Consider the following 27626-nt stretch of genomic DNA (forward strand, 5'->3'; position numbering starts at 1 on the left):
TCTTTTTCATGCTTGCTTACATCTGTTGTTATGAAAACTGACATAAAGTTTTTAAACATAAAAGAAGTGATGGAGAAAAAGATGTTAAGAGACACACAACATTTCAAGGGAACATGAGGTGGAGAAACAGGAGCAGAGTCACTACTGAGGGAAACCGAAAGCAGCCTCTGCAAGATAAATGGGAGGGAGGTTGAGAACAAGGGTGCGCAATCACAGACGAAAAAAAACAGCCATGGCGCTACACAAAGCGTTTCTAATGAATGAGGCTTAGTGCCTTTTCCTCCAGATCATTGAAACATTTTAGGCTTCCGTTGTTAAACGTAGGAAGTAGGGATAATAACACCTACCTTGAAAGATTGTTGTTAGGATTCTATGAAGTAATGTATATAGGGGCTTCACCTGGTCCTTGGTAAATAGTATGTGCTCAAAAGATAAAACAGAATCGGGGCTGACAACTATGACCTGCAGGTCACATGCAGCCTACCACTCATTTTTAAAAGAAAGTTTTGTTGGAACACTGCCAGGCACATTCATTTATGAAATATCTATATCTGCTTTTACGCAATGGTAGAGTTGAGTAGCATGAACAGTGACCATGTGGCCAGCATGCCTAAACTATTTACTATCTGCCTCCTTACAGAAAATGTTCGCTAATCCCTGGTATAAATAATAACTATTATGGCAACGCTTTAGGAATATCCATTATTGTACAGACTTGAATGGTTTCCCAATTCAATTTTCTATCTGCTATATTGCAGTAATATCTGTTGATTATGATCCTCTTGCCCCAGGTTCTAATTTTCCTTTTGTAACAACCCAAACTCTGTTTTGCTTGCTTTTCAGTGTAACATTAAATGATTAATTGGTTCATGTCACCACCAGGTGGCCTCCTATACTCTGTTGTGCTTCTGGTAACCAAAGAAAATCAGAAAGTGGATCCTATACATTTCTTTCAACTGTGGTTGTCACTGTGCTCACAGGCACTTCTCTGGCGGCTTGACTGCTCTGAAATTGTTCATTGAACCCTACACTTCATGTTTGGCCTTGAAACATAAATAGATTCACACGGACCTTTTTATAAAATGAATTAATGCTTTTAAATGCATACACACACACATACACCAAAATGGATTTTTAATAAAGAAGCTTGGTTGTCACTAATAGCTTCGCCATGATTCAGTCCCACTCTCATAGGTATACAGAGTTAACTGATCTTGAAGCTTCCTCAGGAAAAGACAAAGGCCAAAGAGGCTCAGATCTCTATATGTTAATTTCCCTTGAAGGGAATGGATGGACCTCATCTCAGTGCCCCAGTTTATGTTATTTTATTCTATAGATCCCCCTTTGAGCTTTCTTTGATCTTATTTTTAAGCTTCACTAAAGACCAGTGTTAGCAAAGGAAGATTGAGAAGCCATGTGATAAAGCCCTGGAGAAGGAGGCCAGATTCCCCTCGGGCAATTATTCTTATCCTCTCAGGCCTCATTTTCTTCATCTGTAAAGTGAGGGGGGTGGACTCAGTGTCTCTCAGGTCCATTCCAACTTCAGTATTTTCTCTTTGGTGAAAAAAATCAAAGATTACTTCAATTAGTAATTGACTTTGCCTATAAGCAATTGGACAAAATCAGAATTTTAAGACTTAATTTCACAGGCTAAAAGAACAAACTCATGGGTAAATATAATACAGGCATACCTAAGAGATATTGCAAGTTCAGGTCCATACCACCATAATAAGGCAAATATCATAATAAAGCAAGTCACGTGAATCTTTTGGTTTCGCAGTGCATATAAAAGTTGCGTTTACACTATACTGTAGGCTGTTAAGTGTGCAATAGCATTATGTCTAAAAATGTACTTAATTTAAAAAAATTTTATTGCAAAAAGATCCTAAAGATCATCTGAGCCTTCAGCAAGTCATAATCTTTTTGCTGGTGAAGGTCTTGCCTCAGTGTTGATGGCTACCGACTAATCTGGGTGGTGGTTGCTGAAAGTTGGGGTGGCTGCGGCAATTTCTTAAAATAAGGCAATGAAGTTTGCCACATTAATTGGCTCTTTCACAAAGGATTTCTCTGTACCATACAATGCCGTTTGATAGCATTTTACCCACAGTAGAACTTCTTTCAAAATTGGAGTTAATCCTCTCAAACCCTGCCGCTGCTTTATCAACTAAGCTTATGTAATATTCTAAATCCTTTGCTGTCATTTCAACAGTGTTCACAGCATTCTCAACAGCAGTAAATTCCATCTCAAGAAACTACTATCTTTGCTTATTCTTCAGAAGGAACACATCATTTGTTCAAGTTTTATCTTGCGATTGCAGCAACTCTGTCACATCTTCAGGCTCTACCTCCAATTCTAGTTCTCTTGCTATTTCCACCACATCTGCTATTACTTCCTCCACTGAAGTGTTGAACCCCTCAGTCATCCATAAGGGTTGGAATCAACTTCTTCCAAACTCCTGTTAATGTTGATATTTTGATCTCCTCCTATGAATTTCAAATGTTGTTAATGGCATCTAGAATGGTGAAGCCTTTTCAGAAGGTTTTCAATGGACTTTGTCCAGATCCATCAGAGGAATCACTATCTATGGCAGCTATAGCCGTACAAAATGTATTTCTTAAATAAGACAACTTGAAAGTCAAGATTACACCTTGATCCATGGGCCACAGAATGAATGTTGTGTTAATAGGCATGAAAACAGTAGTAATCTCCTTGTACATCTCCATCAGAGCTCTTGGGTGACCCAGTGCATTGTCAACGAGCAGTAATATTTTGAAAGGAATCTTTTATTCTGAGCCATAGGTCCCCACAATGGGCTTAAAATATATAGTAAACTGTGCTGTAAACAGATAAACTGTCATCCAGGCTTTGTTGTTCCACTGATAGAGCACAGGCAGAGTAGAGTTAGCATAATTCTTAAGGGCCCTAGGATTTTCAGGATAGGAAATGAGCACTGGCTTCAACTCAACGTCATCAACAGCTTTAGCCTCTCACAAGAGGGTCAGCCGTTCCTTTGAAGCTTTGAAGCTAGGCATTGACTTCTCCTCTCTAGCCATGAAAGTCCTAGATGGCATTTTTTTTTTTCCAATAGAGGGCTGTTTTGTCTACACTGAAAAATCTGTTATTTCGTGTGGCCACCTTTATCAATGATCTTAGCTAGATCTTCTGGAGAACTTGCTGCAGCTTCTCCATCAGCACTTGCTGCTTCACCTTGCACTTTTATGTTATGGAGATGGTGTCTTTCCTTAAACCTCATGAACCAACCTCTGTTAGTGTCCAACATTTCTTCTGCAGCTTCCTCACCTCTCTTAGCCTTCATAGAATTAAAATGAGTTAGGGCCTTCCTCTGAATTAGGTTTGGCTTGAGGGAATGTTGTGGCTGGTTTGATCTTCTATCTAGACCACTAAAACTTTTTCCCTATCAGCAATAAGGCTGTTTTACTTTCTTTTCATTTATGTGCTCACTGGAGTAGCACTTTTAATCTCCTTCAAGAACTTTTCTTTTGCATTCACAACTTGGCTAACTGGCACAAGAGGCCTCGTTTTCAGACTATCTCAGCTTTTTACCTGAATTGCTCACAAAGCTTAGCTATTTCTAGCTTTTCATTTAGAGTGACTCTTTCTTTCACTTGAGTACTTAGAGGCCATTGTAGGATTATTACTTGGCCGCATTTCAATATTGTTGTGTCTCAAGGAATAGGAAGGTCTGAGGAACAGAGAGAACTGCTGGTGGGTGGAGCAATGAGAACATACACAGCACTTACGGATTAAGTTCACAGTCTTATATGGGTGTGGTTTGTGGTGCCTCAAAACAATTACAATAGTAACATCAAAGATCACTGGTCACAGATCATCATAACAGATAAAATAATAATGAAAAATTTGAAATATTGACCAAATTACTAAAATGTAACGCAGAGATACAAAATGAGCACATGCTATGGAAAAATTGTGCCAATAGCCTTGCTTGACACAGGGTTGTCACAAACCTTCCATTTGTAAACATTGTAGTATCTGTAAGGCATAATAAAACCAAGTATGCCTGTATTTTTTTTAAAGTACCATAAAAAGTGTATAATTTCTAAATACTACACTGCTTTTGGTTCATTTCAGACCATAAAAACATAAATATATATTTTATGAAACTTCTTAGACACTTTCCTTTTCCTTTTACTTTTTTTCAGTGGCAGATAACTTCCATTGGATTCTCTGCAGTGTCTTTTGCTGCCTGTAATGGAAATTCAGCTTTCTCTTTGACGTCTTATTTTCCACACATTTTAATTTTTCTACCTTCTTCTTTAGGCAGAATTACCAAATGCCCCTCAGTTTTTTTCACAGCATGGAACAGATATATTCACTTACATTTCCATTGAAACTAAGTCATTTCATAATATATGAGCAACCTTTTCTTACCTTCTGCTTGTATTGTGGTACACACATTGGTAGTTTATACAGTATTTGAATTGTCACATTGGATGTCATGGCAAATATGACTAAAGACATTTAGCTGTCTATGAGGAAAGGACCTGAATAGTCCCTAAGGCATTTTGGTAAAGAACAGACTCACGTTTGAATTCGAAGTCTACACCCTGGGAGACCTAGTGACAGGCAATCACTCTAATTTCAAATTCCCTACTGGGGAGGCTTCTCTGGAGAGCTATATGGTCGAAGGCAGATTCATATTTGCTTGAGGAAAAAATGATTACAAATTTTTCTACCTTGCAAACTGTACTAATTGGCGTCAAATTCAACTAACAATTTATGAAGTTTGCATCACTTTCTGTGTGTTTAAGCACAAAGACATTTTTCACCTGAATTCTCTTATTTTATCACATATATTTTGAAAATTACATATGTCCATCTAATACATATATCAGGAATTAATGGTCTAATTATTTTACTTTTACTTAAAAGGAATAAGGAATGATGTTATCTCATTTTAGTGACTGTGAGGATGAGACAATAAGAATTCATTAGGATACTATGGTGTGCTGTGGAGAACCAAATAAAGGGAGGTTATCCTTTTCCTTAAGTAATTTATAATCTACTTAGAAAAGCAAAACGAAAAAACATGAAATAATAGCAAAGATAGCAAATTTATGTGGTATGAAAAATAAGTGCTAGTCTTCTTAGAAAGTCCTCATGGAATAAATGATATTTGAACTGAACCTTACTGGATAGAATTTAAATAACTGGAATAGAGATAGATGCATTGCAAAATAATGCATTTTAGGGGGAAAAAAACCTCAGATCTAGGAAATAGCTTGGCATGTTCCTAGGATTTTACCAAAAACAGGAAGACAAACTGGAGAAGAGGAAAATCAGTGACAAACCATATAGCTTTTATCCCATGTGTTCAGTGAAAGTCAATAAAAGGAAAGATTTTTTTTTAAAATTCTAGTGAATTCCTAGATTCAATGTTTCATATAGTGAAGAGAAGTTATATATACAAATAAGGAATTAGTGGCATAAAAGAGATGAGAAAAGTTATGCCAGAGATCATATTTTCTTAGCATGCAACTCTGCATGCTAAGAAAATTTTGAACAAACATTTGTATATGGTCTTTACTATGTAACAGAAATTGTTCTAGGATCTTTGCAGATACTGGCTTATCCAATCCTCACAGCAACCTAATGAAGTATTAACAGTATTCTCAAATGAGCAACTAAGGCACAGGGAAGCACACAGCTAGTAAGCAATGCAAGCAAAGTTTAAATATGGGCAGTCTGATTCCAGGCATATATTTAATTTTTTTAATTTTCTTAATCAATAGCCTTTTATCTCATTGATTTACAAATTAAAATGTTTGGCATGGTTTCTGTCACCATGTTTATGTTTAATCACTCATGAGCGATTAAATGGTTACATATGTATAGGTTTTAAGAAGTAGTATTAATAGGTAATATCAACAAGCTCCCTCCTCCCTTCATTAAGAGTCAAGAAAAATAGTAAAACTTTGTCACTGTATATATATATGCACTGTATGTATTACGTACTATATCCTATTAGGCTGGTGCAAAAGTAATTGGGATTTTGCCATTGCTTTTAATGGCAAAAACCACAATTACATTTAGTATATACTATAGTATACACTATGTATTTAGTATATGCTATAGTATACACTATGTATTTAGTATATACTACATATATACTATATACTATGTACTCTCTCTAAATATGTATATATTCCTGTCTTTTAGAAAATACATAATATATATAATTATATATTATCTACATTATATAATGTATATTAATTATATATTATATGGTATACATTATCTATCTATCTATCTATCTATCTATCTATCTATCTGTATTTACCTTTCTAATGACTTCACCCTGATGTGTGATTTCTTTTACTCTCTAATATGGCCAATCTCTAATAACAATAGTTACAATACATTATTTCTAAGACAGAAAATAAAAACCATGGGAAATTTGCAGTCTTGCTTTCACATCGGTAGCAAACCAAAAAATCTTATTACAAAACTCATCTGTGTTAAAATCAAAGACTTCTTATTAATGGTGTATTTTATATCGGGATCTAAAATTTCTTACAAGTATGATCTATTTACCTCTTAAAATACCTGTGTTAGACAAGTGGCAAAGATAGCTTTGTCCCTGTTTTGCAGATGGGATGACCATGGAAATATGAAATGACCTTCCCTGGAGCAGGTGGATCAGGTGGATCAGGTGGCAAGCCACCAAGAGAACAAAGGCAGAAGTAACAGTTGCAGGATTGATGGTGCCCAGTGAAGGTGCTTAGGGAAAATTCTCAAAAATCACATGTTTTGGTACTCACATCTTCTTGAAAAGTTATCCCTTGTTGTGGCTATAAGCTGTGCTAAATGGCCACATCCTTGTACTTCTGCTTCTTTTGGTTCTAATATCCTCTTAATGAATTTTTTTCAGCCTTTATGCAAAATGTTTAAGTCATCAACATCATATTCTGTCATCTGTTTATTTCAGGGAAGCCATTCACTAAGACCTTTTCTCCAGCTGTAATTTGCTTCCTTTTCTGCAATGCTGTTTATTTTTATGTAGTTTTTAGGATTTATTCCCTGTAGACTAGGAATTGTTTTTCCTATCTGGTGAAACCTTTGTAACTTCCCCTATTTACTTATTAACTTTCTCTCCATGCATCTATGCATCTCCATCATTACATTCTCCAAATTTTCACTTCTTCCTCCTCTTTACTTTTATCACTCTTGTCTCTTATCACACACACACACACACACACACACACATTCTGTTTCTCTTCGATGTAAGAGAAACTTCTTTGAATATTTATAGCAGACTCCTTTACATAGCTGAAAAAGTGCTCAAAAGCAGTTATAACCAAGGTTTGTTCTCTATGGTCTTAGTTTATACCAACAAATTTCCACTTGTACCCTAGAGCTTCTTTAAACTGTGAACTGTCATTCTTCTGAGTGACAGGCATGACCATCAGTGAGAACTCTCCTATCTGCCCTTTTAGCCTCAACCTCAGGCTATTAAAAATCTGTTGGGTTTTTGAGGATGAGCCTACGCCAAATGAATCTGGCTAAAGAGGTTCAAGAGTAGGGTTCTTAAGTATGTGTTGGCCACTCCATTGTCACTTTGTATGGCATTCTTGACTTTATTTACATTATACTCTTAGGGCCCACCAATTTCTTCAGACTTCTGGACTGAGATCTAAAGATGTATTTTCAAGAGCAGTAGTATGGCTTACCAAGCTAAGCTGAAATTCCTCCTGAAATTCTATTTGTGGATTTTAGTACAATCTTACTGACCTTGGGCAAGTCACTTAGCTTCTATGTATCAATTTTTTATCTGTAAGACAGAAGTAATATTACTAACTTTCCCCATGGGCTTGCCATAGGAGAACAGCAAAAAAAAGAACAATCCATTGAAATGACAGTCAAGCTTTCTGAGGCTGCAGCAGCAGCGTTTAAGCCTTAAAGCCTAAAATCTCTAAAATTTATTTTGTCAAAATATTTTTCTGACAAATATGGGTAGGTACCCAAAAGAAACAAAAAGGCCCAAGGGGTCAGGGGATGGGTAGAACAGAATGGTTTTTAAGCCTGTAGCATACTGGTATCGGAACTAAAAATTAGACTTAGCCTTTCGCATTCTGATCAAATGTTCTTGCTATGAGAAAACACTGCCTCATAAAAGGTGCCCTTAAAATATTCAAAGAACTACTGCCACCTTCCTCTTTTCTTTGATAGGTTTTCACAGAAGCTTTTCTTGTGTTAACCGTTCATGGCCATGATAAACAATTAACTTTGTTCATGGTTTCTGTCTGAAAATTGAGAATAATATTCCTGTATTGGATGTTTCACCAAATAAGTTTTTCACAGAAAATGAAGCTCAAAGATAAAGCAATCACACTGTACTCATTTCTGTGTACTAACACTGTATCTGGCATATATTTCAACAGCTCTCTATATCTGCCTGGACTTTCTTTTGGGAGAAATTCAAATGAATAAATATTTTCCAACAACCTCCTACATTTAAACCATAATGCTAAGAATTACAGTGGGTAAAGAGTGAATGACATGTGGTCTCTGACCTCCTACAGTCCCTTGTAGAAGCTTATAATCTAATTCTGAAACCATACTTATCCTCATCTGAAGTGAAGGCACCAGAGATATTCTTAAAAAGTAGCATAAGAAATCAGATATTTTCACTATACAGGGATTTGAGCAGTCACCAAGAAAAACTCCATAGCATTATGGATCTGTTAAGATTATAGATGTGAAAACCCTTTGAAAATTAAAAATACTCTGCCAAAAAAAAAGTCACAATGTGAATACATAAAGGTATAATGGCACTTGCATTGTGTTTTGGGAACAGGCAACCCTGGAAATGCTTTGATCAGCTCTGTCTTAACACCTACCATCGCATGGTAAATTCTGGGTGCAGCCTCTCAGTGCTGGAGTCCTTAGTCCTTGGGGAATGCCCATTTGCATGAAACTTGAAAAGATAGTTTTTTGATGATGACAGTAAGGGCGATAATACATTCAGCCTTTATTTAGGCAACTGATTCTCATAGATTTCAAAAGTCACCATGTTCTGCAGCAACACCTTTTTGATAAACTACAATGGTTACAGTGTTCTACTTCTCATTTTTCTTCTTATCCTCAGAGAGAAAGCAAGATATCTCTTTGAGGAAATATCAACAGAGTTAACATAAGAAATATATAGTTTCTTCCTTATGAAATTAATTTGGCATTATTTTTGAGGTGTGGAGCATCTTGGCAACTGCTTTGGTTTAAAACTCTATGTGATTTGGGAAAAGCACGTTTCAGAATGTTTAATTCAGTGATACAAAAGGCACTAATGAAATATGCATGTATGAATTTTATATCATATTAGTTCCCTCTTTCTTGAAATCTGAATAAAAGCCAAACATCTGGATTATGTTTGAAAAGCCTGAATTTCCAATTTTCAGAGAGATCCAGTCTATTTTGACATTGCACACTTAGCCTTCACATTTACAGTGTGCTATTAACATTACTTGCAATTGTAGAAAAAAAAAAGTCCAGATTTAAACAAACTTGGTGCCTCCTAATGCTAAAAATAAATCTATATTTGAAATGGCTGCTGCTGCTGCACAACCATACACATCCATAGTTCAGGCTTCTTCAGCATTTTCATTATAAATACTTGCACTGAACAGGCCTATAATTCAGCTATAAAGATATGTGGTAACCTATGATACATAAATTCTCCTTTGATTGTATATTAAAACAACAAACAGCAATTCATACATCACTTAGTTTGAGAAACTATTCACTGACTCAAGGCTTTCTGAGGGTCTCAAATATTCAAGATACTCTGTGGTCAACTAAAGAAGACATAGCCACCATCTTTTAAAGTTTATTCTTCAAATTTACAAGGCAAATAACATTTATGTTTTTATAGATATTTGGGTATATTTTAGCACCTAGACTAAAGGCAAGTGAATATTTATGGTTTTAGTAGCTTAGAGATGTAAATATGCATATCATTGCTTTATCTCATTTCATTATCATAGTTAACTTAGGAGATAGATGGTCAATCAAGTTTTAGGCAAATAGTAGTCTGTCCACACAAGAGGTCATGGAAGATAGAAGAATGTGACTGTTGTGTTTGAAGTTTGCATAATGGTAATTCTTCAGTGGACTTTAATTTACTACACTTAACTTGTTATTGGATTTCTTATAGCACATATTAGGTAAGTGTTTTCTTTTGTTATGTTTGGAGAACAGCTAGAATCAAAGATTTTTCTTTTCCTTTTCATCTTATTTTGTGTTATTAGAAAATTCTAAATTAAGTAGTTGTGCTGAGTGCAGTGGCATGCACCTGTAGTCCCAGCTACGTAGGAGGCTTGAGGCAAGTGGATTACTTGAGCCCAGGAACTCAAGGCTATAGTGTGTGTTCATCATGCCTGTGAATAGCCAACTGCACTCCAGCCTGGGCAACACAGCAAGAACCTGTCTCAAAAAAAACTTTAAAAAATTATGTAGTAGTGCCAAATTCAACAGAAATAGCTGTGTTTAGAGGTGTTTGTTTAGGTTGGGAAATGGAAAACAAAATAAATGAAACTTTTACATTGGAAACCTTTTTTAAAGGAGAAAACTGAGTTTCATTACATTAATTGCTGCGCCTCAAGTCTTTTTTCCTTCCTACATTGCATACTCTGACAGATATTACATAATTGCATAACTATTTTTACTATGTGCAGACATGACATTACAACAGCCCTGATATGGTGCATCATAATGAAACCATAATTAGAGTAGTCATGATGTATTATGGCAATGATCCACATCGTCACTAAAGTGCATTGGAATGCACAGAAAACCCTTTGAGATGTGTAGATTTTCAATGTAATATAGCACAACTCTGAAGTTTCATAGCATGGAGGAGAAATTGCAATTATGCCCATGCTGCTGGTAGCAAGGATTAAAATGCACATCTTCGATATCTACCGAAGAAAGTCTGTATTGATGAAGGAAATTTTTGAGGGTGATATTTATCTTGAAGTTTATGTCTTTTAAAAAAATTTACAGGAAGGACGTTGTTGAAATATGAACCTAACCACATAAATTCTATAGTAGAAGTCTCCTGTATTTATCAGATAAAAAGACTTGAAAGTTTCATTCTGTACCTCAAATTCAATGAAACGCCTCTCTAAAGTAGGATGGATTGAAGACAGTTTTAGAATTTTCAGTTAACCCTGCCCTTTCTTTTGGTTCTCTGTAGCCCATCTTAGCTTAGATTATACAGCTTACATTTTATGTGGTTGTGTCTTTGCTCCATTGTTGTTCTCTCAGGTTTTTCTGCATGAGAATCTTGTTTCTGAATCTTGTTCTAGCGAGTGACAGCTTCTTCTTAACTTGGTGATTTTCAGTCTTGGCATTTCTTTTACCTGGGATAATGTAATTGTTATGGCTGATCTTATGAATGTGGATCCAAAGAAGCTCAACTTTCTAAAACAGAGAGGAAATTTAGGCTCTATCTCCCAGGCCAATCCTCATTCAATGCTTCATTTGCCCATAATATATCCCAGCCAGGTAGACTTCTCATCTCTGCCTGAACACCTCTGATGAATGGGAACCCACTATCTCTCATGCTGTGTTCCTACTCAAGCTTCAGCATTTGACCCCCAGTCTGACCTCTGAGGTCAGATGGAACAAATTAATATTTTTTATGCAAAAGTCCTCTAAATATTCAAAATCTTCTAACATGTCCTTCCTCTCTTCTTTCACCTCTAACTTTTATTTGCCCTCTTAGCTGAATACCTTTAGCTCATTCAACAGCTTGACCCTTGGGGAAGTATTGAATCTTCTCCCTTACTGAAGTGCTTTTTTTTGGAACATTTAATACATTGTCTAGGTCCCTTTTGGAAAATGGAATGCAAGCAGTACAAGGTTGGGGCCTAGCAAATCACAGTCAAACTAATATATCCATTACCTTTCTTTTTTTAACCCTGTGTTTTTCTTAATTCAATCCAAAATCATGTTTCCTTTCAATATGGACAGGAAGCAGGGAAATATTGGGTAGAAGAGGGCAGGGTCCCTGGCAAGGGCTCCACCTTCAAGCCTGGAACCGCAGCCCTAAATGAGAACATGCATTCCTGTTTTCCTGCCCGAATGTTGCCTTTTCCAAAACCACCCTGGCCCACCACGCCCCCTACCCTGTACCCGTAAAAACCCCAAGCTCCACTGGCAGAGCAGAGCAGTGCAGCACAGAAGGAGAGAAGAGAAGTGTCTGAATGTTAAGAGGAGTTCGGCTGGCTGGGGACAGAGAGGAGTTCAGCCAGGGATGGCCAAACTCTAGGGAAAGATTATCTTCTCACTCCATCGCCTTCCCAGCTCCCCATCCCAGTGAGAGCCACTTCCATCACTCAGTAAAATCTTCCACATACATCACCTTTCCATCCATTTGTGTGACCTAATTCTTCCTGGATGCTGGACAAGAATTCAGGATGCACCGGGTGCAGGAACCCAAAAAGGCTATCAAGCTGACTCTTCGCTAAGCTGTTTAACACCATCCATGGATGGCAAATGCTAAAAGAACATTGTTTGTAACATGTGCCCTCTGAGGCTCCAGAGGTTATGGGCAACCCCTAGATGCTGCCGCGGGCCAGTGCAGTGTTTTTTCCTGCTGACACCCAAAGTCACTTGCCCTGGCTCCTGCACCCGCTCACCTGCGGGCTCCCCCTCCTGCAAGGGGTTTAACTGCAAGTGGCCGAGTAAACGAGCCACACCTCTATCACAAGTCTTGTGAAGGGGTCAAGGGAACTCTCCTGTCTCACTTTTTTAAAAATTTACATCTACCTTCTATTGTCTGTTGACTCACATTGAACCTAAAGGCAAGTGAAGCCTTGTTACCTCCATTCTTTATGCAGTTTAAAACTTTTTATCATTTTGGAGTGGGGGTAGTGGGGTGAAATGGGGTGGTTATTAACTCTGCCTGACTTTACATTTGTCATTTCTCCTTCTTAGATTTAACTCATTATGGCAGCATGTTTTGTTCCTTTTAGAGTCTATTATCATCTGAAATAGATATTATAAAGTAGTTGCCTGCAGATTCATATCCAGAGACATAGTTTGATCTGTGTAGTGTTAAAAAGTTTTAATGCAACATAGAACAATTTTGAGACTTCACATAATATATATATGTGTGCGTATGTGTTTATGTGTGTGTGTGTGTGTGTGTGTGTGTGTGTGTATAGGCTTTAAAATGTATATGTCTTGCCATACTGAACCCATGTTGAAGCCGTATTTCCACAGGGTAATAGCTGGCAGAACTGAGTTAAGGGTTGCCCCTTTTAGATGAGGCATATGCTCTCCCATCCTCCACAGTTCACACTATGCCTGCTTATCTCTTACTGATATTAGATATTAGTAATAGTCACATTTATGCATTGTCTTTATTTAAAAAAATAGTTCTCTTTTTTATGACAGTAGCAATAGTTAGAATATGAAAGAGAGAAGAGGATTTATCCTTGCCCTACTCAATTCCTTGATATCATCTGCCTGGTAGTGAGGTGTTGGAGCTGGCTAATACTGACTTATGAGAGCATATTGTTAAATATTCAGGAATTTTACCAGCAGCAACCACCATTGGTAGATTGGAATCAGCCACAGTGGGAGTATTTACACCAGGGAAATCAACGAACATTACAAATCAGGTCTTTTTTTCTTCTTCTTCTTCTTTTTTTTTCCTTAGAGAACCAGTTTACTAGCATACTGCTACATTTAGGTATTTGAGTTTATGATCTCTGAACTAAAATGCATATTATACTTTATTGATCATTGACGTTAGTATAATCTGCCAATCTGATCAATATGCCATATTCATATTTTCTTTATCTATGTCATTAATAAAATATTTAATAAGAATGGACCAAAGAAGAGACCTATGGCATAACATCCATTAAACAATGATCTTTACATATGGTTGTTCAACAGGTATTCAGTAAAACTCTCCGTGCTTCTAAATGATTGCATCCATCTGCTCACTTTATGCTTATGAAAATCTACTGGAAGTGCATACGCCTGATCCAGGAATTCACATCCTTGGTGAAGGGATTTAAGTCATTAGATTTTGGGTGTATGTTCTTAGCAATTTAATTATGTTTAAAATCTGGTTAGTAGTGTAGTAAATAACTGGTATTGCTACAAAATTGCATTGAGAAGATAATAGGATTGAATTTCTATACAAGTTGACACTCAATTAAAATTTCCATATATCCAGTGAGTTAGCCAGTTCTTGGCTAAGGAGTTAGAGCAAATGCCTTCCTACTAAGCCGATCACTTCAAAACAGGCAAAATTTATAATAGAGTCAAATCAGGACTGAATGCATCAACAAAAACTGGAGTTCAGCTTATCAAATACAGATCAAAAGCAAGAAATAGACTAGAGAGCACACGGGATATTTCTTCCTTAAATTTCTCTATTTTTTATTGACACTGGAGGAAAAAATAGCACATTAAAACCTCCTTGCTGAATTACTGTCCTAAACCAATAGATCCGTGGGGCTTGTTCAGCTAAAAGCCACAACAGACTTTGTAATGCAATGATGTAATCTTGGCATCTTGGCTTTGTGTCATTTATATTCAACCTAAAAAAAAAAAAAAAAAAAAAAAAAAACAATTTTCCTGAATAGACAGGCTGACAACAATATTGTTCAGTGTGGGTTTTTATTTGGATTCTCTCCAAATGGTTCACATGCCTTCACAGTAACACATGCCTGCTTACGTTTTTTGCCTGAATTCTAAACTTTTCCCCTTTTACTAGCTTTCTATTTTTCTTTTAAGGTCTCAGTTATGTTTGTAAAACTAACCAGCTCTACCACAAAATTAGGATGTATCTTGCAGAGAGCATTCATTTTACTTTTTGCATATTTTTCCCGAGGTCATGTCAAGGTTAGTTTGAATTCCATCCTACATTAAGACTTCTTTCACAGCTATTTAGCTCGGCAGCCTACTCCCCGCTGGGGTCTGCCCCTTGGGCACGTCAAAGCTTCAGACCTGACAAATCACACACAGATGAAGCTGTACAGTTTTTTAAACAGTTTCATCAGTAACTTTTTTTTCTTTTTCACTATCCTCCTTCATGTTGAGATTTTTTTTTCTCTGAATTACCATTTCAGGAATGTTGATTTCCGTTTGAGACAATTTGTTTTTACATCAGAGTTGCAGACTAGCAATATCATTTATTTTATAGTAAAGGATATTAATAGCCTTCTGTCACCAAGACTGCAGACCTACAGACCATTCCTGACTATTCTAACTGTAATTGCTTTATTAAAATCTATTCGTAACAGGAAGTGTAGTGTTGGAAATGTAGCTATATCATAGAGTCTACCAGAATCTGAAAAAAATATCAACCATAAAAATGCAGTTTATAAGGTATTATGAGTTGAGCCTGGAAATGTTTCCTGAATGGTTAATAATATGCTCTTATCCGTATTTTAGCAAATTATGAAACTAAATGATGCAACTCCATTTCCTGTTTAATTGATGAAGTTAAAGTCCTTGGTTGCTAATGAGTGTATTAGCAAACAATGTCCCCTTTACAGGCTTAAGTAGATCAGGATTTTTAAAAAGCAGCTTACTATCCTTATTTTTATGGGATGAAAAATATTGACTGCCACAAAATTGCTAGACCAACTGAAGTCATGGTGTAATTATTTCTGTGCAGTCATTTTGGCAATTTCCAACGACCAGATTAAGGTTTTCTAGTTCCCACACTAGAAAATAGTTATTTTCTTTTACACACCATAGACTTTTCATTACATTTTCATTCAGGACAAACAACACCTGAAGATCTTTACTGCAGACTAAGGAGAAAACTTAGAAGTGAGGGGAAAAAATAATATTTGAGTGATTCTTCTCTCCTCAGTCTTCTTTTACAGTTTGCTCAACATGAAAGTACCCAAATGAAGGGTTCTGTAAAAGGTTGCTTGGTTGAAACTAATTAAAGACAGGTCTAAATAGAAAAAGAAAAGAAAAAGGGATCAAAGGAATTACATTAGGTGTCAGGACATCATTTGGGAGCGTTTTGTTTAATTTTTGTAATTTGATTCCAGGAAAACACTAAATTCTAAAAATGTCCATTTTTTGCCGTAATTTTATACTTGTGTTATTTTTGCAATAAGATACATGTCAACAGGCAAACATCTTGAAGAGATCATTTTGGTATTGGCGCATTAACACGTTATGGTGAAAAGAGAGGCTTGTGCTTTTCACGCAGTGCATTTCAGTCTTCAATTAATGTGAAAGCACTACAATGCCTATGCAACTTCTCTTGCCTAGTGGTGCACCATTTATCATTGCAGTTTTACATTGACCTTGACACCCACTTCATTAGAATAAAGATTGTCTACCATTTAGGTTACATTGTTCCTCTGCACAGAGACCCCATGCAAATTTCTGTTCAGATAGAAGAGCTGCGGGGCTGTCAGAGGTCATCTGCATTAAATGATTGCAGCTATTTTCCAACTGCTTCTTTTCATTCTACTCAATTCAGGCTAGGAGGATCAATCAAGTCCTCTGCCTGAAACAGTGGGACTGCTGGGAATATGACTGTTTTTGGTAGTAGTGGATATGCCCTAAACAGTATTAAATATTTAATATAAACTCATTAAAGGCCATACAAAGGCTTCAGAAGGATATCAAATTTATGGAAATATCTAAGGGGATAGAGAACCGTTTTAAAAAGTAAATAGAAAAATAATAATCAATATTATAATTTTACAGGGTATGATCAAGATAGTTCTTAAACTTACTAAATTTTACCTATAGGAGACTTTTTTCTCACCCTTGACATGGGAAGGAAAGAAAGGAGACAGGTAGACTTGGCGTCCTTATGCAGTATTTTTTATGAAATTGACATGAAAGTTTTCAGTTATTTGTGTTTTTATTTTTGTTCTGTAACAGTGACTTCTAGTCTAGCTATATTTATTTTTAAAGGCTTAGATATTTGTTATTTAAAAGAAATGACTGGAGAAATAAGTTGCCAGGTCTCCTACTTAAGTTTTCTGAGTGGTATGATTGGAATTAAATTATTAATGGCAGATACTTTAAAAAAGATTGTTTTATGATCTTCTATTAGGGAATTTGCAATTCATTTTAATATTTGTAGTTTGATTTATATTAAAGATAATGCAATCTATGTCCAATTAACAGTACATGGCCAGTGTAATGTGATTTCCAGATCATGCAAATGGAATAAGCTAGAAGAGGGGGAAAACTCAATTCTTAACCTCAGGTGTCATTTGCTGTGCGAGTTCTGGCAATTTTAAATGACATTGCACTTTTTAATTTTTCCAAAGGCTCAGCAGCAAATTTATCCCAATCAGGAAAACCTATTATTAATTTACAAGGACAATTGTAGGAGTCTTTATAATTTCTCTATGCAATTACTCACCATAAATTCTACTGGTAAAATACAAGGAGTTTGCAAGAAATAACAACTATTATTTGTCTTGGGCTTGAACCCTTTTCTTCAGTTTTGAACATCTTCTTGAAGTGTTGGTGGTACTGACTCCATGTGCAGCATCATATGCGTTATGAGATGCTACACACAAGTCTTCTGAAAAGCGGGGCAGCACAAGAGCTGCTGCACAGGCAACACTGGCCTCTGGCAGATTCCTGCACTCCGCATGGACAGCTGAGCTTGGACCCTGGACTTTTATATAAAAAGACTCTTTGTTCACCACTGAATGGCATTAGGCATGGACTTGCTGAGGGGCCACCATGAAGCCTCGAATGAGGAGGGCAAACACTAGCCAGAAAACACGTGAGAGTTGTAAATAGACACATCCCTGGATTTTTTTTTTTTTTTTTTTTTTTTTTTTTTTGCAAAAATGCATATTTTCACACATTATTTTGCCAGTAGTTTGGTGTTTTGGTATGTTCCTAGCATTTGCTTTCTTACTGATAGACTAAGTAAGATATATTTTATTTTCTCAGTGTATTCTATCTATCTATCTATCTATCTATCTATCTATCTATCTATCTATCAATCGTATCTATCAGTCAATCATGCATATATGGGAAAGGGGATCTTGCTGGATAAACAGGTGTTTGTGGCATTATATTTGTACCAGGAAAGACATTCAATCCTGTCATTCTAATAACTAGATCATTTTCCTTGTTTTAACTTTTCCTAATATAAAGTCAACTGAAGCTCAGTTAAAAGTAATATGGTGTAAGATGTAAATGCTCAAACCCTGATGACACAGAATACAACAGCCCTATTCTAATAATCAAGAAATGTCTTTAGTTTAATTTGTGTGTTTCTCGCAGCCAAAGCTTCACTCTCTGTTCAGCAATGTCTGGTCTCTTTTCAGCATAACCAACAGAAGCACCATACAAAAGTCTTACAATGGATGTCTTAATCTCTCTGTGTGCTTTTAGAGCATTATTTTGAATTCCATCATGCTGCCTTTTTTCTTTCCTCTTCTGAAGTTTTATTACAACAGCAGAATTCCCAGGGAGCTTTGGGGGCAAGGTTCACATAATATAGCCCTCAAGTTTTGCTTAGGTGGAAGCCATCCCCCAATCCTGGCCATCTTTTGATGATCCCTCTATTTCAAAAAGATTCACTCGGTAGAGTCTTATAGCATTAGCTGTATATAGTTTATTTTTTATTTTTTTTATTTACCAGACAGTGAGCATCTACAACCCTTTCATGATGTTTTCTTTCTCTGACCTCACAGTGACAAGGCATCTTGTTCCTTAACATTGAGGGAGGCAGAAAAATGCTTGAGTTGCTCAATGTGTGCCTTCTATACCAGTTTCAAAATGGCTTATTCTTCTGGTTTCCATGGTGACAATTAACACTGTTTCAAGGCATTGTTCCAGTCTCCATTTGGGCAGAATTTTCGGTGTGATTTCTAACAAAAAAAAAGGAGGGGGACTTCGGTGTGGCGGGGAAGCCTTTAGCGTAACTGTCAAAAAAGTTATCTCAATCAAGTCTTCATGCATTTCTAAGTATATTTATTTCAGAAATTCCTGTTTTTGCTGGCTTTGTTTTATAATTCAGTTTTAGCATTTGTGCTAAAAGTAAGTACTCAATAAGAATTTTCTACAACTTCTTTAGTTCTTAGTTAAAATGGTGGGCTAGAGTTTGTAGTTATTTTTAACTCCTTTTTTTAAAAGTTTTTCTTTGTATTTATATACACAGGGATGGCATTTAGAATAGTACTGTCCTGTGTCTTTAATTTAGATCATTCACATATCTATTAGGAGGCTTCATTAGTCAAAATTGAATTGGCCAAGCAAATACACTTAATAATGTAAATATGGCCTTTCAAGAGAGTATATTTTATTTTTGACTAGACAGAGAGGCCCACAGCAGGTGCTGTGGGGAAATTAAATACTGGATGCTTATTTACCTTAGCACTCAAGAAAAGCTTTCTGACTTTAACTTTGCTAATCTCATTTTTGCCTATTGAAGAGTAGTCTATATCATAACATCCCCAGACTACAGGACACAATGGGGCAGCCTCTGCTCACTTACTGCTGTGGGTGGAATGAATATGAAGATTAAATTATCTTCTCACCACAGGATAAAGTAGCCCCACTTGATAGGATGACCGAAAACTGATAGAGCTGGCAGTTGATTTTCTGAGTCTAATGCTTCTGAAAAGATGTTAAGAGACAGAAGAGCAAAAACATACTAGCATCAACAAAAATATAAGCTCCTGACATTATTACACATACAGCTTGAGCCCCTAAACATATTAGATTTAACCTTCAATATGCTTCAAAAATTAAAATAAATATTTTCACCTTAAATTATATAACATTTTAGTACCTTTCATCCATATATCAATACATCTAACAATTAACTAGATACTCTTAGCTTTTGTATTAGAGTTTGAAGGCATTGTCCATCAATCACATCTTAAATCAAGCTGTTTAGACAGTCGGCTATATGGTGACAAAGACTGAGAGCACACATAAAGACAAGTTTCTTTTAAAGGTAATAACCTTTTATAATAGCTATTGCAGTGACTACTTATACGCATTTAACAGAGAAGATTGGTTTATTACATCTAAAATTAAATTAATTGCTTTTTATATTTTTATTTGTGTAAGACTATCATTTTTATGGGACACATCTAAGCTGTTTCCTTTCTTGACTGATGTGCTGTGTGAGAGCTGTTTAAAGTTGGGGTGAAGAGGGGGGGATGAGCTTGTCACAAGTTAAAGGGATAACTGGTAGAGGCCATTCCCAAGTGGCACAGCCAGAGGACTCTTTCTGTCAATGAGTAATACCATGTGGCATAAGTAAAATATTTGAATAAGATTTTCCTGCCTGCCTGAAATACTGGTTCCCCCAATATTATGTGGAAATCTTACCAAATTAATTATGTAAATCTTTGTCAGCTATATCATTTTAGATGGGAACCTGATTACATAAAGCAGATTGTCCTCTCCTCCAATCATCGCTCTGACAAATAAAACACTATCTAGGTTTCTAGAATGCTCCTGAATATTGAATCCAGAAAATTCAAGTGGACAGTGTGTTTCCTAAGTGCTGGAGTAACATGGTCCTGGTAATTGCCTTCCATTAGAAAACGCAATCAGAATTTCTCCTGTATCACAGGCCAGATTCTAAAAGCGCTCTAAAGCAACCCTTGATTTTCTCCACTATGCATATTCATGTAATTTTGGATACTCTGACACCCTGATCAACATTCATTAATAATATGAAATGCTTTAAATCACCTCATTTAAAACATTTTGTTCTGTGATCCACAAATGACTAACATTTGGAGAAGTTTACATAATACAAGTGATGTGCATGTTTAGTGTAAATGAAAGATTAAAATATGAAGCTAAAAGTATGCAAACATATGCACGCAAATGCTGAAGATCTATTAACCGAAACAGTGATTTCATACCTTCTTTTCCTTTAATCTGCTTCCAATTGTATTTTTGTTTGGGATCTTATATAATATCATGTTTTCAAGGTGAGTGAAATCACCCAAGTGCTTGGGGACATTTGAACTTATTGATTTATTTATTTGCCCAGAGAAAAGTTTTTCTCATTAACTCTGATAAAGGTGCTTATCTTAGGGCACCGTTGGTCATGTAGGGCAAAAGAACAAAATACTACCATGGAACTCAGTGACCTAAATTTGGTGCCTGGAAGAAAAAAGTTTTAAAATTGCTATTATATCTTGGAAATGTGCTGAAAATGTAAAATATGTTTAATATTTTAACCAGAATCTAGATTTTCTACTCAGAGGAGTTTTTACATGTACATTTATAAAGTACAGTCATAGTCATTTATGGCTATCCATAATATAGGACTAACTATGGAGTTATCCAAATAGAGTTATTTGAAGAGAATCACCATAGTAACTGTCACATTAAATAGCACTTACATTATCTCCAGCAAAACATCTTTTAGGAGAGACTCTCTTGGCAGTTTGTTAGAATATAATACATACTGGGGGAGAGGGTTCTGTAGTCAACTATGATTTGGGGGATATTTTACAGTAATCAATAAAGAAGCATAGATTTGTAACTACTCCTAAAATGTTGGCTTTCCTTTTTCTCTATATATGTACCTTTTCTCCAAGCCCACACAGAGTTTTTAAGGAAAAGAAAATGAAAACAAAATGTTAACTGAGAATTCAGATAACTTACATAATCTTTATGAATAATTTTTTTTCTTTCACTTTGAAACTGGTCCTTTAGGGGAAGAGATGAGAGGTGGACAGCACTCTGGAACCAAATAATGGCCAAAATTAACTGTAATATTAAACCCCCCTAGACCAGTTACTATCCTATTTAGAATATTTTAAAGATCAAATATGTGTATAAACTTGAGTTTAAGAAGTAAATCTTAGTCAACTAAATGTAATAACTGTGTGTGTGTGTGTGTGTATATAATATATTCAGCAATATTCTTCATCTACTCAAAGTACTTAGGTTTAGCCTCCCCATAAATTTTATTGGGAACAAAAACTTTTAATGCTCGTAAGCATCACAAATTCTGTGTTCAATGATTTTCTAAGAACACCTCTCTCCCTAATGATATCTCTTTTTCTCTTTTCATTTTAGCGATACAGTGTGGAAATGTCCATCAGACACCTGAAAAAGACGGAGCTGCTTAGTAAGGTTGAAGCTTTGAAGAAAGGTGGCGTTTTACTACCAAATGATCTCCTTGAAAAAGTGGATTCAATTAATGAAAAATGGGAACTGCTTGGGGTATTTGCATTTTTATTACTGTTTGTAGGTTATGTGTACATTTTTTGCGTAGTGAAGTACTCTGTCCGATTTCTAATTTGAGGCACAAATATCTCTCTCTTTCAATTCACTACCTACGTTTCAAACAAGCTATTCATGCTATTATGGGAAAGACACTGCTTTTCCTCTTCTGTTGATTTTTTTTTTTTCTGAGCTTGTCCCCTCTCAGATTTTAATAATTTTGGTTCTTTAATACATGAAAAAGTAAGTAAAATATGCCATGTATTATGGGTATGCACCAAGTCAACTATAATACAGTATATCTGATATATACTGACTGTCATGCTTGAATGAATGTTAATAGAATTTATTCTGAAGGTACATGTGAGAGACATCTACTGTTTAACTATTTACTGTACCCTTAAGATGAAAAGTGGAGTTGTCACTACAGCTTTCAAGTCACACTAAAGCCACCAAAACAAAGATGCAAATTTGACCCAAATCTGAATTGCAGAATTGAATCAGCCTGTGTTTTGTGCCTCAATTTCCAGCTCACTTTTAACAAAAGCCAAAAAAAAAAAAAGTTTCATGTAATTCATTTCACGCAATGATGGGCTGGGTCTCAGCCAAAGACTGAGATGCAAGAATCTGGCAAAAAGGCAATATAGAGATTCTGTTACCCAGAGACCAGGATGGCACTGTGCAGGAGACAGTACTGTCCTTTTGTTGGAAGACAGCTGAGAGAAAAGTTAAACTGTATTTTTTCATCAGCTTCTCTCCTAAATTGCCTTCACTTCAAATCAAGGGTAAGCTATATTTGTCAATTACCTAAATAATTAATTATAACAGCCAAGTATGGACGATGTCAGTTATGGAGCATAATTTTGCATGCCTTCCATTTTTCTACCTTTTAAAAAAAATTTTAGATAAATAATACTCCAAAAATATTTTGAATAAAAAGCTCTTCATGTACCTTGATGATTTGGAGGAATGCCAGTATTCTGTTTATGCCATGCCTAATCTAGGAGATTAAAAAACTGCAGGTTTAAGTCCTTGTTTCTCATTTAAATTCACTACACTCTGCAGTTGTGCAAAGTAACTTAAAATGTTAAAAGTTTTTCATCTAACATATTGTTGCCTTTTAATAATAATTAATGGCTTTCACTTTATAATACGGTGACTTAAATCAAAACCTGCCGTATTCTACAGCATTCATTGATCTCAAACAGGAGAAATGTGGTTAGTGTATGACATTTTAAAAGGTTGTTTACTACATAGATAAGAATGGCAACCTTATGTGCTTGATAAAGTAGCGATAAGTCTGTTTACATTGCATTTTAATATATCCATTGGTAATTTGATAAATAACAATAATATTTTTAGAAAATTGTTTAAGTTATGTCACATGTATTGCTTCCTCAACAGAATTTTAAGTCAACATTATTTTGAAAAAAGAAATAATATTTAGCTATCCTTTATGAATCAGAGACTTTAAAAATAGTTGCCATTTTGACAAAAACATCATTCAAATACAACATGCAGGTTTGCAGTGAGAGAGTAGGGTGAGGGAAGATTTTTTTAAATCCTGTACCACACTAACACCACCAGGCATACTGTTTTAATTGGCATGATTACATTTTAATTGGCATGAAAAAAATTAAAGACAAGGATTTTAACTTCTAACAATAGTAAAATAGAGGTATATGGTTTTTAATATTACTTTCATCTAAGGTGAACAGTGTGGAATGGAAATACATTAGAATGAAATGTCAGTGGTGCGTACAGTTTAATCTGTGAAATTGTGTCCCCTGTGCTGCATATTACTCTGTCTCAATTGCATATTAAACAACCCTATCAAGGCAGGCATTGGCATCTGCTGTGCTGACACAAATTGTGAATTAAATGAAATTGATGTCCTCTGTCGTATATTTATGAAGACGGACCATTCTCTGAAGTATTCTGTTTATGAAGAATTTATGATTGCAAACTGTTCCAGAACAAAAAAGTGGCAATAAATTCTTTTTTGTGACCCTACCCTCCAAGGGCATTGATTTCACCTCCTGCTGCTACTTTTGTTACAGCGTAAAAACAATAGCTAAATCTGGATTCCACTGAGGGTCTTCAAATTATCAGTATTTTCACCATGAAAATACAAGGGTGTTGCCAAGAAAGGCTATTTTTCTGCTACAGTCTCCTAAAGATACTATTTACAGAACACTACACACCAGATGAATGTTTGTTGACTTAATTTTATTTATGTTTTAAAGCTTATTTTTGTAGGTTTAATGCATCATTATAGATTTAAATCCTATTGATTGGGACTGCTTTCCACCAAAAAGAAAAAAAGAAAACAGCCCTCCCCGACAACACTCTCCTGCCATAGTGGTTAATTTAAGTAGGCTTCTAGTGTAGTGAATTGGGGATTATTTTAACACATATTCGGTATTAGAAAGTCCAGCATCCAGAAATGCAAAATGGAAAGAATTGTGGGATTGAACAATTTCCAAGTCAGGTAAAATCAACAACATCACCAAGGAGGCTTCCTTTTCTTAAAACCCTTTAGTTATATGGTTTCGGAAATATGTCACAAAACAAAAAATGGAATTTAATTCTCCGTGTTTGATCTACTCTTGGCCTCTTTAGTATATTTATTAAACTTACATCTCCTGGACATTTTATGTGGAGAGTTTTTTACTATAAACTCCTATCATGATAATTCAAATGAATTTTTCTCTGTGACCAAAAAATTCAAATGAATTTTTATCTTGCGAACTATGGGCTAAATCTCCTTTCTATTAAAGGAAAGTAAGTGAATGAGGTCTTCTTAAGTATCCGCTGGTACTCAGAACAACTTGCACTGAGAATTCGAATACTAAATGGAACAATGACCTAATCTGAACTGAATGTCAGTAGTGAGGTGGCAGGTATAGATGGACTCTTCCAGGTGGCTCTCGTTACCAACAAAACTGTGGTGTGTTTTTGGTACCTAAGTTAATCTATGTTTTTGTTTTTTTGTTGTTCGTGGGGTTTTTTTTTGTTTGTTTGTTTTATTTTTTGTTTTTTAATCTGATGCATTAGAAAACCCTAGGAGAGAAGATCCAGGACACAATGGCAGGGCACAGTGGGTCGAGTCCACGTGACCTGCTCTCTCCTGAAAGTGGAAGCCTGGTAAGGCAGCTGGAGGTCAGGATCAAAGAACTGAAAGGATGGCTAAGAGATACAGAGCTTTTCATCTTCAATTCCTGTCTGAGACAAGAAAAGGAAGGAACAATGAATACTGAGAAACAACTGCAATACTTTAAGGTAATAAAAAAACAATCAAAGTTGATAAAAAGCTCTTTTTATGGTAGGGATGAAATATTTATCAAGTACATGAAGTATTATACCCATGTATCTGTGTATCACTGTGCACCTAAATGTTTCCTTGAATTTATAGACAACCTCCACATTTCTTATATGTCTCTATGTGTATAAAGATGAACATTAAGCATATCACATATACATTGTAGAGGGGAAATCTCTGCTGCATGTGTGTTTTTTGCAATGCTTGTTGAGGGAGGACTTTGATGAGTTAAAAGCAGACCAGCAAACACTAAAGATTACTAAGGCCTTTGAAGGACAGACCTAAATGTTCTGTAAATAACTTGGATAAAAATACTTACACAAATTGATATGATAAAAACACATGATTTAATCGAAGTCCATTACTGCTAACAAAAGGAAACATAATTTTTACATATGAAAGAGTCAACTATTTATGGAGGGAAGAAATAATGTAAAACAAGTTCACACATTACAGGCATATTCCATTATAGAATATACCAACCTGAGCAATACAATATTCATTTTCACTGTATGTCCATGGAGAGGCATTTCCCCTGGTTTGTTCCTATTGTTTACACAATATCTATTTAAAAGCAATTTAACATTAGAATGTTTTCCCCTATTGCCCAACCTAGCCCATACTGCTTGAATCTTTCCATAAATGCAGTCATTATTTGGGTTCTGGCTAGTGCTGGCCTGAGGCTTTGGGGTTGCAGAATTTGAATTTGGTGGCAATAAATCTTCATCATGAGAAATCTTAAAGAGGAGAAAAAGGAAAACCAAGAAGGAAAGAACTTTTTGGAACCAAGCAACCATTTCTTCTCAAAGCATCGTAGGACCAGGTTTTATTCATCCCACCTTGCCTGCAATCATCCAGTAATCCGTCAGAAAATTTAGTCACATGTGATTCACCTTCTCTCTGCCAAACAGGCAGAGTCATCTTGCTCACCTCTATAACCCTAGTGGAGGCACCCTCAAAGACAAGACCACAATACTTCCCAATAAACTATCTGCATTGCACACCTGTAAATTTGCTTTCATTGAAAACCTCCTCTTCTGCCACTTAACTGACAGACTAAACTGGAAGTTAAAGTGTCTTGCCAAAGCAAATGGGTTTATGGTCTAAAATCTAATACCCAGGTGATTTGCTGTTTTATCTCTACTTGACCCATCCTAACCTCTACTGCAGGGAGATGGAATCTTCAGATCTTTTAATGAAACTTTTCAAACTTTTTGAGATTATGGAGCCCTGATGATTTTTCTTTATGACTTGAAACTAGTTCCTTTCTAAAGTTGACCTTGAGGAGTTTGATCAGATGAGTTAGGGGGATCTAGCATAATGGCACCTTTTTATTGTTTTTAAAGAAAATTTTATTCATGACTGTTGGAATAAATCTTTTTCCTAGCCAGAATTTTAAATAATTCTGAGCTATTTACTCTTAGTGTTTGGTATATGATTAATCCAGTGTTCTGTGTATTACCACATTCACTGGAAGAATGGAAGCAAATGTTTGTAATATAATAATAACGTAATATAATGTTTGTAACCTGTCAAAATTATAATTGGTAATAAGCATGTACAGAGTAACAATTTTTTACTTGCCATAAACCCAAAGAACAGGTACACTCTGCCTTTCTAAGTGATGAAACAGCTCAGACAGGAGAGTGACTGAAGAACCTTTTTACATATGGGAAACCCTCTGCCATGCTCTGCCTCTCGTGGGTTCCTAAAGGTCTCCTGCCATGACTGGTCACACAGAAGAGGACAGGCTTTATCTACAAGGTTTAGCTTTATGATTCTTTATCCTATAAATCCTCAGCCTTTTAACATAACTGAAGTCCTTTATATGACACTAAGAGTAATGACAGATAAACTACAATGTACTCTCCAGGAGAATGGAAGGGAAGGTGCTGCATATGAAAAGGAAAACCCATAGCTTTGTAGACAGAACTGCGTTTCCTTCTAATAGATTGGTCTGGGATGAGACAAGGGATCAGGATCTTCAGTTTTCAGAAAAAAGGACAAACCAATTGTGGAACATTTTCCTTTTCTTTAAGCAATACGTATGAGAAATATGGGATTAGACACAGAAGAAAATTCTACCCAACAAAG

General features: G+C 35.8%; 1 protein-coding gene across 15 annotated transcripts in view; it reads left to right on the top strand.

Annotated features, from left to right (window-relative positions):
- The window catches only part of AKAP6 (A-kinase anchoring protein 6), a 508387-nt gene that overhangs the window by 381093 nt on the left and 99668 nt on the right, over positions 1-27626 (top strand). For 14 of the 15 annotated variants that reach the window (XM_047431969.1, XM_047431966.1, XM_024449755.2 and 11 more), the window contains 2 exons: positions 22064-22210; positions 25268-25492. In XM_047431969.1, the coding sequence (XP_047287925.1) occupies positions 22064-22210; positions 25268-25492 (372 nt within the window). Of the gene's footprint in view, positions 1-7916; positions 7928-15805; positions 15814-22060; positions 22211-25267; positions 25493-27626 lie in introns of those variants that run through there. The other variant, XM_011537383.4, reaches the window with a different exon arrangement.

This window comes from Homo sapiens, chromosome 14 (genome assembly GCF_000001405.40).
Source record: "Homo sapiens chromosome 14, GRCh38.p14 Primary Assembly".
NCBI classification, from domain to species: domain Eukaryota; kingdom Metazoa; phylum Chordata; class Mammalia; order Primates; family Hominidae; genus Homo; species Homo sapiens.